The following is a 13,332-nucleotide window of genomic DNA, read 5'->3' as shown; positions in this document are numbered from 1 at the left end:
ACAGTGGCTCACACCTGTAATCCCAGCAGTTTGAGAGGCCAAGAGAGGAGAAGCCCTTGAGGCCAGAAGTTTGAGACCAGCCTGGGCAACATAGTGAGACCTCATCTCTACAGAAAAATTTTTTAATTAGCTAGGTATAGTGAGCATGCGTCAGTAGTCCTGCCTACTTGGGAGGCTGAGGCAGGAGGATTGCTTGAGCCCAGGAAGTCAAGGCTGCAGTGAACTATAATTGTGCCTCTGCACTCCAGCCTGGATGACAGAGCAAGACTATTATTTTTAAAACTTATGAAAACCTATCTCATAATTCTCATTCACAATATGTGATGCTCAAAAGCAGATATTCACAGGGCTTCTGCATAAGAGATGCAAGGTATTACAGAAATAAGAAAGCAAAAAACGAAATAAGGTAGAAAATAAAGAGGGTCTTCTGACAGTGAGTGGTGGGTGTAATTCAGATGTTCTTGAAGACTCAGAAGAGGTTTGAAATTGTGCAAAGCCGCTGTTTTATTCACATGACATTGTTTATCATTGCCTTCTACATGTGCACAGTGCCAGGAACAGAGACTTATGGCCAATAAAACACAAAAACTGGAGAGAATGTGCTTCCAATTAAAAAGTACAATTGCAAAACAACTTTGAGTTCAAAATCAGGCCAGGCACAGTGACTTACGCCTGTAATCTCAACCCTTTGGGAGGCTGAGGCAGGCGGATCACCTGAGGTCAGGAGTTCGAGGCCAGCCTGGCCAACATGGTGAAACCCCGTCTCTACTAAAAGTACAAAAATGAGCCAGGCATGGTGGTGCACGCCTGCAGTCCCAGCTACTCTGGAGGCTGAGGCTTAGGAGGCTTCAAATTCATATAACTGGGTGAATCATCAAGAAATAGGCTGGTCTCTTGGGAATTTTTCCTTTCAAAGATCCATCACAGGAAAAAAGAAAGTGAAGGGTGATTTTCCCCGAGAGCAGACCAGTTTTGTGTTCTAGAATTTGGGGTTCTTTCACTCCAGGGATGCAGTTCACTGACTGTTTATGTGTTTGATGTTGATTTGTTTATCTGACTGCAGGGTGCCAGGGAGACTGACCAAATAGGCATTTTTTGGGAGGAAGAAGGAGGCTAATTAAAATAATCTGGCTAGATTGTCAGTGAGGATAAGTGGATATGCAAAAAGTATTTGGGAAGAGGTTAACTAACTAGAGGGGAGTGAGGAGGGTTTGCTGAGGACAGAGGGCAAGGTGGGTCTGGGCAATGACTCGCTTAGTAGTGACCAAGGCCACCCAGGCCCAGGCTACCTCCCTCTATTTTTCCTGGGTTTTGGCACAACCTCAGAGAAGGGAAGAGACTTATTTGCCATAGCGGGGAGTGGAGGGAAAAACAGTATTAGATTTTTATTGATCTTGGAAAGTGGAAGCTCAGAGCCATATCTGATATAATTTACAAAAATAAGGAAATGTGATGTTTTTTCTACTTGAGTATCGAAAAGCAGTTCCTTCTTCTATACCCATGCTCTTAAGCAAAACCCCTTCTGTCAGTCGACTCATTTTCTTTCATTTTCCCCACTTCAGTCTCACTGCCTTGAGGTCTCCAGGTTGGCTGCAGCAATTGGATTCCCTCATAGGGCCCCCTACAGACTCTAACTGGCCCTTGTTCCTAAGTCAAAAGCCAAGTACACCATTACTAGGTGACCATTAGAAATGCATCACCTCGGCAGGGCGCAGTGGCTCACATCTGAAATCCCTGCACTTTGGGAGGCCAAGGCAGGAGGATCTCTTGAATCCAGGAGTTTGAGACCAGCCTGGGCAACATGGAGAAACCCTGTCTCTACAGAAAGTACAAAAATCATCTGGGCGAGGTGGCGTGCACCTGTCGTCCCAGCTACTTGGGAGGCTGAGGTGGGAGGATTGATTGAGCCTAGGAGGTCTAGGCTGTAGTCAGCCGTGATCACTCGACTGCACTCCAGTCTGGGCGACAGAGTGAGACCCTGTCTCAAAAAATAAAAATAAAATAAAATAACATGGTGAATTGTATTTCATATGAATATATCTCCACTTAAAAATCTAGGATTCTAAAGCAAAAAAAAAGAAAAAAGAAAATCCCTTAACCTGAGCCATGGCTCTCTTCTTCCTGATATATCCATCTACCATCCTCCCCTCTGCCTGGCCCCGTCCGCCATCCTCCCCTCTGCCTGGCCCCATCTGCCATCCTCCCCTCTGCCTGGCTCTCCTCCCCAGCTGAGTCCTCTGTCTGCATCTTGCCGACAGTCTGTGGCCAAAGACCCTGTCACTAGGACTTTTCTTTCCAGAGCCTGAGCCTCATCCTCACCTCCAGCTCTGTTCTGAATGATGACTGCTGAGCTGATCCCCACCCTGCATGGGTCCCCTGCGAGAAGCTCCAGAACGACCCCCACCTGAGTCTCTCCTGAATGGTGGACACTCAGCCAAGGAAGCCCACTCTTCCCAAGCCATCTCGTTTCCTTTGGTCTGAGAAAATAGATACTGGACTTTGCTCTCAAAAATAATGATGTCATGTTGTTATGAGTTGAAATGTGTCCACCCAAAAATATATGTTGAAGTCCTAACCCCTGACCCTCAGAATGTGACCTTATTTGGAGATACGGTCTTTATTTTTTTATTTCTATTTTTTTTTTGAGACGGAGTGTCACTCTGTCATGCAGGCTGGAGTGCAGTGGCGCGATCTCGGCTCACTGCAGCCTCCGCCTGCTGGGTTCAAGCAATTCTCCTGCCTCAGCCTCCCAAGTAGCTGGGACTATAGGTGTGCGCCACCCTGCCCGGCCAATTTTTTGTATTTTTAGTAGATTCAGGATTTCACCATGCTGGCCAGGCTGGTCTTGAACTCCTGACCTCATGATCCACCCGCCTCGGCTTCCCAAAGTGGTGGGATTACAGGCATGAGCCACCGCACCGGCTCTGGAGATAGGGTCTTTACCAAGACAATCAAGTTAAAATGAGGTCACTGGGATGGGCCCTGATCCAATATGACTGGTGTGCTTATAAGGAGACAGAATTTGGATGTCAACATGCACAGAGGCAGGATTCTGGGAAGAGACACAGGGAGAGGACAGCCATGTGGCAGGAGCAATGGCAAGGGAATGACAAGGACAGCTGGCAAATGCCATAGCCTGGATGTGGCCAGGAAGGACTTTCCCCTAGAGCCATCAGACACCTGCTGACACCTTGATTTCAGCCTTCCAGCCTCCAGAACTACGAGACAACAAATTTCTGTTGTTTCAAGCCACACGGTGTTTGGTACTTTGTTGCGGCAGGCTTAGGAAATTAATACACACAGAAAAGGCCAGGCGTGGCTGAAGTGTGGATGGGAGGGTCATACATTCTAAAGAGAGACTCCCATGTTGCTCCTAAAAAGGACCAAGCTGTTCATCCATGCAGCAGCTTGAATGGATCTACAGAGAATTGCACTGTTTGCAAAAGCTGACCTCGAAAGGCTACACGCTGGATGATTTCATTTATATAGCAAACGTTCTTGAAATGACAAAGTTGCAGAGATGGATAGCATTGTGGCTGCCGGTGCTGAGGGAAAGTGGAGAGAGGCGGATGGCTGTGGCTATAAAAGGGCAGCACAAGGCAGCCTGGTGTGCTTCATCTTGCCCTGCATCTTGGCCGTGGAGGGGCCACAACCCAACCGCCTGCAATGTGACAAAATTGTGTAGAATTACACACGCACACACGCATGTAACACTGGCAAAATTCGAATGTCTATATGTTGTATCCATGTCATTTCCTGGTTGTGATATTGTACTTTAGCTATTCAACATGCTACCATTGAGGAAAACTGAGTCAAGGGTATACAGGATCTCTCTGTATCATTACAACTACGTGAGAATCTCTACTTACCTCCAAACAAAAAGTTTTTTAAAGATACCATCAAGTCATATCAGTTTAACCCAGGAAAGTAGTCCCTATGGAATATGGATGAAATTAAGTATTATTTCCATCTAAATACAATTCAAGATGTTGGATCCTTTTGTTTTTTTAAGAGGTAACTGACAATCCGAAATAAAAATTCGAAATTTCATCTGGATGAACAAACATAAGAATATTCTTTAAAAGGATAGCAAAGAAACCTTGGGGAGGAGGAACTTACGGGGCAGACCATCCCCTGCAAGATTTGGAAACATGACAGAGCTATAATAACTGGCGGAGACTGTGGAACAGAGTAAGTATCCCAGTAATGGACTAATTATCTAAGTGAAAATAATTTATGGAAACAGTATTTCTAAAAAGGTTAAAAAAAAAAGAAGAGCCTTTGAGTGTACAATGGCATTCTAAATCAATAATTGGCCTTGGTCTTTTCCAGTTTCCTGCTAAAACATTCAATTTATACAATGAGGGAAAGTCTAGACCAGCACTGGACACTACCTGAAGCTTTTAGGAGTTATGGCAGAAAATAGCGCAGATAATAGCAGAGTATAGCAGGGTGTAACAGGGCGTAATACTATCTAACAGTTAAAATTAATGACCTACCACTACATGTATCAATGGAGAAATTAATGCTAAGGGAAAAAGAAAGTTTTGGAATGACATGACAGTGCAGGTTGAGTCTCCATTATCTGAAATGCTTGGAATGTGAAATATTTCAGAATTCAGATTTTTTCAGATTTTGGAATATTCACATATACACAATGAGGTATCTTGGGGATGGGACCTAAGTCTAAATATAAAATTCATTTATGTTTCATATGTACCCTATACACATAGCCTAAAGGTAGTTTCATACAATATTTTTAATAATTTGTGCATGAAACAGTTTGTGTCTATTGAACGCCCAGAAAGCAACGTTGTTGCCACTGCAGTCACCCACGTGAACATCTGCGGATGATTGGCATCACCACCATTCCTGACTCTGACTCTGAATTTATGGGCTACCCTTACAAACAATCGTTTTCTTACACTTATTCACACATGAGTACTTAACAGTAAAAAATATGACATAGCATTAAACCAGTGAAAACATAATGTGTTCAGGGTCACTAAGCAGCCCAGTGGTGTCATCAGAGACCTGGATCAGCCGACAGACAACAGCAACCACGACAGTGGGCTTCCATCTCCATCAATGATGCTGTGTTCTGATTAAACGATACTGTAGGCCGGGCTCGGTGGCTCATGCCTGTAATCCCAGCACTTTGTGAGGCCAAGGCAGGAGGTTCACCTGAAGTCAGGAGTTTGAGACTAGCCTGGCCAACGTGGTGAAGCTCCATCTCTACTAACAATACAAAAAAAAAATTAGCCGGGTATGGTGGCAGGCGCCTTTAATCCCAGCTACTCAGGAAGCTGAGGCGGAAGGATCACCTGAGCCTGGGAGCTCAAGGCTGTAGTGAGATGGAATCACGCCACTGCACTCCAGCCAGGGCAACATAGTGAGACCCTGCCTCAAAAAAAAAAAAAAAAAAAAAGGAAAAGTTCACTATAAGCTAAACCTTGAGCCTAGAGCACGTGCAGAACCCTGGAGAAGTTCCTACCCCCAAGGCAGGAGTTCGTAGCTAATAGCTTCTTGGGCTTTTGGTGCAGACTGGCTGGAGATTGGAGAAGCTACATCATGAGAAAGGGGCTTTTGTTCTCTTTTCTGGGCCGAATCAGGCAGCAGCAACTTGTAACCATCTGGCCATCTGCTGGTATCTTGTAGGGCAGCTTATCTTGCAAAAGCACTAGGTGCTGACGCAGGAGAGTTGCAAGCAAAAGAAGACTCTGCAAAAGGGTCCTTCAGGGCTTCGCACAAGGGGACAAGTTGGTACAGGGTCCTCATCTTGCTTACCCTGCCTCGAACACCCACCGTTCTAGTCCTTCAATGAGCCCATCGCATGCTTTCATCATGGCGCCTGCAGGTGCGTGTTCTGCTGTGATAACAGCATTATGTTCGTCATCACTGTTAGCACAAGCACCTTGGTTCAGAACCGTTTTGCCATTGTTCATCATCGGTCAATGAACGAACAACTGGAGCCACAGTATAGATGTTAAAAACCTGTATATCCACTTCGTCCAGCATGCTGACACACTCTGAAGGTATATTTTTTGCCTGCATAGGGAGGTCAGACATCATTTTTTTCCCACTTCACATATGGAATACTTCCATGTCATCACCTTGTTCATCATCATCACTGAACATAGTCGCAGACCAGAGGTTGTGCCATGCACGCATGGCTGTGTCGTTAGTCACTGAGTTCCAAGCATTGGAAACAGCATTGGCATCCTTCATGCTAAACACCTTTTGAAAACTTCCACACCCACCCCTCTGTTCACTGCTGCTAGCGTGCAATGTTTCCATATTTACTCTCCATTGATCTCCATTGATCTAAGGATACCCTGGTCACATGGCTGAAGTAATGAAGTCACATTTGGAAGAAAGCCCATGGCATAAACATTATTTTTAATGAGAGTTTCAGCTGGAGGATGAGCAGAATGGTTGTCAAAGAAAAACAAAATCTTGCAGTCATCATCCAGTCCACCCTCCCTACAGTGACACAAGCCACTGGTCCAAAATGTTTGTGAGACTAATCAGAAAAGATGTCCCTGATTATACATGTAATCTCAGCTACTCAGGAAGCTGAGGTGGGAGGATGGCTTGAGGCCAGGAGTGTGAGACCAGCCTTGGCAACATAGTGAGACCTCATCTCTAGAAATAAATAAATATCAGCCAGGTGTGGTGGTGCACACCTATAGGTGTGCTGTGTTGCCCAGGCTGGTCTCGAACTCCTGAGCTCAAGTGATCCACCCACCTTGGCCTCCCAAAGTGCTGGGATTACAGACGTGAGCCACTGCACCCGGCCAACATTTTCAACATCATTAGACCAGAGAGCAGAGAATAAGCAAAAATAGCACAGTGAGAAGTGCACAGAGGCGGGGCTTGGCTCCATATGGGGAATTGTCGGGACCTACCATGGGTGTGTTCGACCTGCACACAGGCCATTTTACCACCTTTTGTGTGCGTGCTTGCATGGGGGAATCTGGGCATGCACAGAAAAGATATCTCTCAGCTGAAGGCGGCTGGGAGAGTCTTTTTTCCCCTTGGGGATGCTGAATAAACAGTGTGTTATGTGCCTGTGTTTTGATTGCCACCCACCCCACGAGATCAGGTGTGGAATTTTCCACTTGTGGCGTAATGTCAGAGCTCAAAAAGTTTTGGATTTTGGACCATTTTGGATTTGGGATTTGGAGATCAGGGGTGCTCAATCTGTATGGTACTGTTCATATGAATTTTTTTTTTTTTTTTTTGAGACCGAGTCTCTTTCTGTCGCCCAGGCTAGAGTGCAGTGGTGTGATCTCAGCTCACTGCATCCTCCACCTCCCAGGTTCAAGCGATTCTCATGCCTCAGCCTCCCAAGTAGATGAGATTACAGGTGCGTGCCACCACACCCTGCTAATTTTTGTATTTTTAGTAGAGATGGGGTTTCACCATGTAGGCCAGGCTGGTCTCGAACTCCTGACCTCAAGTGATCTGCCCACCTCAGCCTCCCAAAGTGCTGGGATTACAGTCATGAGCCACCACACCCAGCCTTAATCACATGAATTTTTAAAAATGTAAGCCATCCTGTCCGTTGCACATGGACATACACATGGAAAAGGGGCCTAAGAATGCCTGGGAATGATGAGTACCAGTTTCAAGAAACATTTACCTGCGAGAAAGTGGAAGACGGAGGAAGAGAAAGATGCAAGAATACAAAGGGGCTTCAACTTTATCTGTAATTTTTTTATTCCAAAAAATATCTGAAGCAAACATTGAGCAGACATATTAAGTTTTGACAGGATGAGGCAGTAGGCTCATGGATATCCACTATATTTATTGATTGCTATAGTTCGAAGTATATTTGAAATTTACATTATTTAACAACGTATATATATGTAATGAAATAGAGTTCTTTAAGCATACCAAATTTACAATTTTATTTTCAAATTTTAAAATTTACTTTTGGTCAGAATGCAGTAAAATGGGTACTTTAACACAATCAATGCTAGTTAGAAGGTATATTGATACAAGACTTTTGGAAAGCAAGATAGAAATATTTGTTTAAAAGAGAAAAAGCCTTTAAAAATATTCCCTACCAGTTGACTCAATAGTTCCACTGTAGGAAATCTATTCTAAGCGATCTTAAATTCACAAGATTTTGTAGAAAGACATTTATGACAATGTTATCTTTAATATTAAAATAATAGAGGGGATGTTAAACTATGATAATTTGCAGCCATTAAAAACTTTTACAAAGAGTCTGTAATAATGGAGAAATCTCTACTTCATAAATGTCCATAGAATAAAAAATGCTCTATTGTATACATGCTATGCTTAGCCTGCATTCAATAAACCCTCAATATATTTGAGAATATTAAGGAATATTGTTAATTTTTAAATTTGATCTTATCATCTTGAGATTTATTATTAAGTATTGAGAGAAATTGAATAATGTGGGATTTCCCCAGTTGGAGTAAGGGTGGCTATTCCTGCTTAGAAAAAAAGAATGGACCTTGTGTGGTCACTGCCGGATGGTAGGTTCATTATTCTTTCTACTTTTTTTTTTTAAATTTAAGAGACAGGAACTGGCTGTGTTGCCCAGGCTGGAGTGCAGTGGTGCGATCTCAGCTCACTGCAACCTCAGCCTCCTGGGTTCAAGTGATTCTCCTGCCTCAGCCTCCTGAATAGCTGGGATTACAGGCGCCCGCCACCATGCCCAGCTAATTTTGGTATTTTTAGTAGAGATGGGGTTTCACCATGTTGGCCAGGCTAGTCTCGAATTCCTGACTTCAGGCGATCCACCTGCCTTGGCCTCCGAAAGTGCTTGGATTTCAGGAGTGGCCACCGCGCTCGGCCCTAAATTCTTTTATTTAACTTTTAAGTTCAGGGTTATAAGTGCAGGTTTGTTATAAAGGTAAACCTGTGTCTTGGGGGATTATTGTACAGATTATTTCGTTTTCAAAGAGAATTTGCAAGTATGTCACAAAAGCCTCATAAACACGTTGTGAGATTTTAAGAGGCAATGACCGAGGCTTGGAGATGTCTCGTCCTGTCCAATGTCACCGCTAGACCTGAGAATCTGCACTTGGGAGCTTACAGACCCGGTTCTCAGGCTTCACTTGAGACCCCAAGAAAGAAAAAAACCCACCAGCCAAAGAGGAGGATGGCAGCCTGGAAGAACCTAAGGAAGCGAGGCTCAGAGGTGAAGCACTGTGGCTCCTCTCCCCCTTCTCCCCCCTCCGCCCCCTCTCCTTCTAAGATGAGGCATTTTCTAGGGGAGCAAAGCTGCAGCAGGAATTCGGCGAAGTGGCGGAGCTGGGGCCCCAGCGGGCGCCGGGGGCCGCGGGAGCCAGCAGGTGGCGGGGGCTGCGCTCCGCCCGGGCCAGAGCGCACCAGGCAGGTGCCCGCGCCTCCGCACCGCGGCGACACCTCCGCGGGCACTCACCCAGGCCGGCCGCTCACAACCGAGCGCAGGGCCGCGGAGGGAGACCAGGAAAGCCGAAGGCGGAGCAGCTGGAGGCGACCAGCGCCGGGCGAGGTCAAGTGGATCCGAGCCGCAGAGAGGGCTGGAGAGAGTCTGCTCTCCGATGACTTTGCCCACTCTCTTCGCAGTGGGGACACCGGACCGAGTGCACACTGGAGGTCCCAGAGCACGACGAGCGCGGAGGACCGGGAGGCTCCCGGGCTTGCGTGGGTAAGGTCCTGGGTCCCCACCGGGCACGGCCCATGCGTCCCGGGGACAGGGGTGGCTGTGCGGTGCCGCGGCGGCCGGCGGGGCTCCTTCCCCAGCAGGGGTGGGGACGCTGAGTCACGGATCTGTCACCGCTTTGCACCTCTCCGAGCCCTCGGGGGCCAAAGCAAAAGCGAAAGCGAATGCGACTGGCGGGGCGGCAGGTCCCAGAGCAGCGCTCGCCACCTCCCCCCGGCCTGGGCAGCGCTCGCCCGGGGAGTCCAGCGGTGTCCTGTGGAGCTGCCGCCATGGCCCCGCGGCGGGCGCGCGGCTGCCGGACCCTCGGTCTCCCGGCGCTGCTACTGCTGCTGCTGCTCCGGCCGCCGGCGACGCGGGGTAGGGAGCTGGGAGCAGGGGCGCCCGGGCGGGACTTGGAAGGGGGCCGGGACGTGGAGCTGGAGGGAACCGGGCGCCCCATCTCCCCGGGCCGTGCGGGGGCGTCGGTGCCCTCGGGAGCGCGGTGCGCGCAGGCCCAGGCCGGGGAGGGGACGCGGCGCCGGGCAGGAGGGACACGTGCCGGGAGCCGGGGTCGCAGGGAGAGCGCCGCCGCTGCGCCCGGGTCACCCACGTAAGGGAGCGGGCGGCCTGGCTGGGGTCTCCGAGGCCGAGGTCAGGAGCAGTTCTGAGAAGCCCGTTTTGGCCACGGGAGCGCGGAGCCGGCGGCGTCCAGCAGTTTGGAGACACGGGCGAGTGCGCTTCTCCCAGGCGCCTGGACTGCAGGGCGGGTGTTGCATAGCACGCGGTCCTCGGAGGGGTCCGGGAGAAACTACTCCTCCCGACTCCCAGGCAAAAGTAAATTATGTCAGTGGGAGCTGGGAGGGTGGGGAGGAGCTGTGTCCCAGGGGGAAACGCGTCGGGCAAGTTGCACACCTGGGGACCTGGAAACAACTTCCAATTCTTAAGCGATCAGGAAACCAGCAGAGGCGGTCGGGACCGGATGGGGGTGGGGAGTGGGGGCCAGCCTGGAGTCTACACTCGCAGAAAAAGGGGGAAGAGATCTGTGATCGCTTGGTGTATTCGAGAAGAAAGCGGGTCGCGGAGCTCTGATCTCGGCAGGGAGGACGGAATGAGCGATTCCTAGGGGTTTTGTCCCGGCAGCCAGAGGAAGGAGGAAAACAGTAGCAGGGTCTAGCTCTATCCTTGTCAGCGCTTCTTTATCTTTTTATAGTCAGGGAGCTCTTGGAGGGTCTGATGAAAGCTATGAACCCCCGGCCCCCAGAAAAATGCATGAATGAACATAGTTACAAAATGTGCATATGATTTTGGGGTCAAAGCCCCACTGAAGGCCATCCATGGACTCTCTATAGGAATTAGTAACGCCATGATCTGTGTGTGTTTTTAAGCGAGACCCTGAATAATTTACATCCAGTCGGGCCAGTCTGCCCAGGCCCTGGCCAAAGCCATTCCACGCACAGTTGCTGCTGCCTGGTGTGGCCTGAACGCCCCCCCACCCTCTGCCACCCCCACCCCAGCTCTGCGAGGCTTCTTGAAGTTTCGTTTTCATGAGACTCTGATGCTTGGATTTCCCCCCACATCTGAGAAGCAGAGTTAGTTGGTGACCGGTTGGTTCCTCCCAGTTGGCTAGCAGTGTCACAGGACCCCATAGCTGGCAACTGGGGCAGCTGGATTACACAATATGAAAGTGAAATGCAGCCTTAGTCAAAGCCCAGCAGAGAGGAGGTGTCTTCCTTGAAGACTGAGTGGATAGGGGAGCACCACTGTGAGATCTCTGATCTCATCAGCTGCACAGCCTTGCCCTTTGACCTTAGAAAGATGTTGCTACCTTCCCTTCCCAAAGCTCTCAATGTTTTTTCTTTTTCTTTTTCTTTCTTTCTTGTTTTCTTTTTTGAGACGGAGTCTCACTCTGTCACCCCGGCTGGGGTGCAGTAGCGCGATCTCAGCTCACTGCAACCTCCGCCTCCTGGGTTCAAGCGATTCTGCTGCCTCAGCCTCCTGAGTAGCTGGGATTACAGGCGATCGCCACCACGCCCAGTAACTTTTGTGTTTTTAATAGAGACGGGGTTTCATCATGTTGGTCAGGCTGATCCAACATGGTGATCACTCCTGACCTTGTGATCTGCCCGCCTCGGCCTTCCAAAGTGCTGGGATTACAGGCGTGAGCCAGCTTGCCCAGCCGTTGTTTTTTTTCCCTTTAACAGCCTTATTGAGGTATAATTGACCGACAATAAACTGCATATATTGAAGTTGCACACTTTGATAAGTTTGGAGGTAAATGCATACATACTCATGAAACCACTGCCACCACCAAGAGTGAACACAACTATCACTCCCAAAGACTTCCTCATGCCCTGCACAGTCCTCATCTCCCACCTCGCCCATCTCCCAGGCAATTTGATGCACTTTCTAAAATTTTTTATAAATAGAATTACACGGTAGGAACTCTTTCTTGTTTGGCTTTTTTCACAGACAGTAATTATCCTGAGAATTTATCCATGTTGTAATTTGTATAAGTAGTTCATTAGTTTCTACCATTGAGTAGTAGTATTCTACCCATGGCTAGCCCATCATTTGTTTAGCCATTCACTTGTTAAGGGACATTTGGGTTGTTTCCAGTTTGGGACTATTACAAAGAAAGCTGCTATGAACACTGACATACAGGTTTCTGTATGGACACATGTTTTCATTTCTCATGGGTAGAGAATGGTTGGGAGTAGAGTGGCTGTGTTATATGGCAGGTGTATGTTTAATTTTTTTTTTTTTGAAACAATGTCACACCATTGTTTCCCAAGCTGGAGTGCAGTAGCATGATTATAGCTCACTGCAGCCTTGACCTCTCAGGTGTTTAATTTTTAATTTTTATTTATTTATTTTTAATTTTTATTTATTTTTAATTTACTTATTTTGAGACAGAATCTCACTCTGTTGCCCAGACTGAAGTGCAGTGGCTCCATCTCTGCTCACTGAAACCTCTGCCTCCTGGGTTCAAGCGATTCTCCTGCCTCAGCCTCCTGAGTAGCTGGGACTACAGGCTTGCACCACTACGCCCGGCTAATTTTTGTATTTTTAGTAGAGATGGGGTTTCACCATGTTGGCCAGGCTGGTCTCGAACTCCTGACCTCAGGGGATCTGCCTGCTTTGGCCTCCCAAAGTGCTGGGATTACAGGTGTGAGCCATTGCACCTGGCCTCAGAAGTTTAATTTTTAAAGAAACTGCTAAACCATTTCCCAAAGTTGTTATACGATTTTACATTCCCACAGCAGTGTAGGGAAGTTCCAGTTCCTTCACACCCTTGTCAGCTCTTGGTATGATGAATCTTTTTAATTTTACCCATTCTACTAGGTATGTAGGGGGTCTCCCCTTGTAGTTTTAATTTGCATTTTTCTACAGCTGGTGATGTTATGTGCTTATTTGCCATGTATATATCTTCTCTGGTAGTATCTGTTTATATTTTTTTTGCTCTCTTAAAAATTGAATTGTATCAGCTGGGTGTGGTGGCTCACACCTGTAATCCCAGCACTTTGGGAGGCCAACGCGGGCAGATCACTTGAGGCCAGGAGTTCGAGACCAGCCAGGTCAACATGGTAAAACCCCTTCTCTACTAAAAATACAAAAATTAGCCAGCTGTGGTAGCCCATGCCTGTAATGTCAGCTACTCAGGAGGCTGA

General features: G+C 47.7%; 1 protein-coding gene across 37 annotated transcripts in view, besides 5 other annotated features; it reads left to right on the top strand.

The window, feature by feature from the left end:
- Positions 5,467–5,761: a silencer, noted in NCBI's record as "tiled region #4656; K562 Repressive DNase matched - State 5:Enh". NCBI's record gives its function as "represses a minimal TATA promoter and a strong SV40 promoter by Sharpr-MPRA in K562 cells {active_cell/tissue: K562}" and the evidence as "EXISTENCE:reporter gene assay evidence [ECO:0000049][PMID:27701403]".
- IL15RA (interleukin 15 receptor subunit alpha) overlaps positions 8,706–13,332 on the top strand; it is a 29,842-nt gene continuing 25,215 nt past the window's right edge. For 16 of the 37 annotated variants that reach the window (XM_011519474.3, XM_011519471.3, XM_011519464.3 and 13 more), the window contains exons 1-2: positions 8,706–9,178; positions 9,589–9,670. In XM_011519474.3, coding sequence (XP_011517776.1) covers positions 8,999–9,178; positions 9,589–9,670 — 262 coding nt within the window. In that variant the 5' untranslated portion in view covers positions 8,706–8,998. Of the gene's footprint in view, positions 9,179–9,251; positions 9,671–9,835; positions 10,043–13,332 lie in introns of those variants that run through there. The other 21 variants (XM_011519475.3, XM_011519472.3, XM_011519470.3 and 18 more) reach the window with 4 other exon arrangements.
- Positions 9,141–9,810: a silencer, noted in NCBI's record as "silent region_2094". NCBI's record gives its function as "represses an Ori minimal core promoter by ATAC-STARR-seq in GM12878 lymphoblastoid cells {active_cell/tissue: GM12878}" and the evidence as "EXISTENCE:reporter gene assay evidence [ECO:0000049][PMID:35858748]".
- Positions 9,901–10,280: a silencer, noted in NCBI's record as "silent region_2093". NCBI's record gives its function as "represses an Ori minimal core promoter by ATAC-STARR-seq in GM12878 lymphoblastoid cells {active_cell/tissue: GM12878}" and the evidence as "EXISTENCE:reporter gene assay evidence [ECO:0000049][PMID:35858748]".
- Positions 11,171–11,250: an enhancer, noted in NCBI's record as "active region_2945". NCBI's record gives its function as "activates an Ori minimal core promoter by ATAC-STARR-seq in GM12878 lymphoblastoid cells {active_cell/tissue: GM12878}" and the evidence as "EXISTENCE:reporter gene assay evidence [ECO:0000049][PMID:35858748]".
- Positions 11,381–11,650: an enhancer, noted in NCBI's record as "active region_2944". NCBI's record gives its function as "activates an Ori minimal core promoter by ATAC-STARR-seq in GM12878 lymphoblastoid cells {active_cell/tissue: GM12878}" and the evidence as "EXISTENCE:reporter gene assay evidence [ECO:0000049][PMID:35858748]".

This window comes from Homo sapiens, chromosome 10, assembly GCF_000001405.40.
Source record: "Homo sapiens chromosome 10, GRCh38.p14 Primary Assembly".
Lineage (NCBI taxonomy): Eukaryota > Metazoa > Chordata > Mammalia > Primates > Hominidae > Homo > Homo sapiens.
Note: the sequence above shows the minus strand (reverse complement) of the source record. Positions and strands in the feature narration are given on the sequence as shown.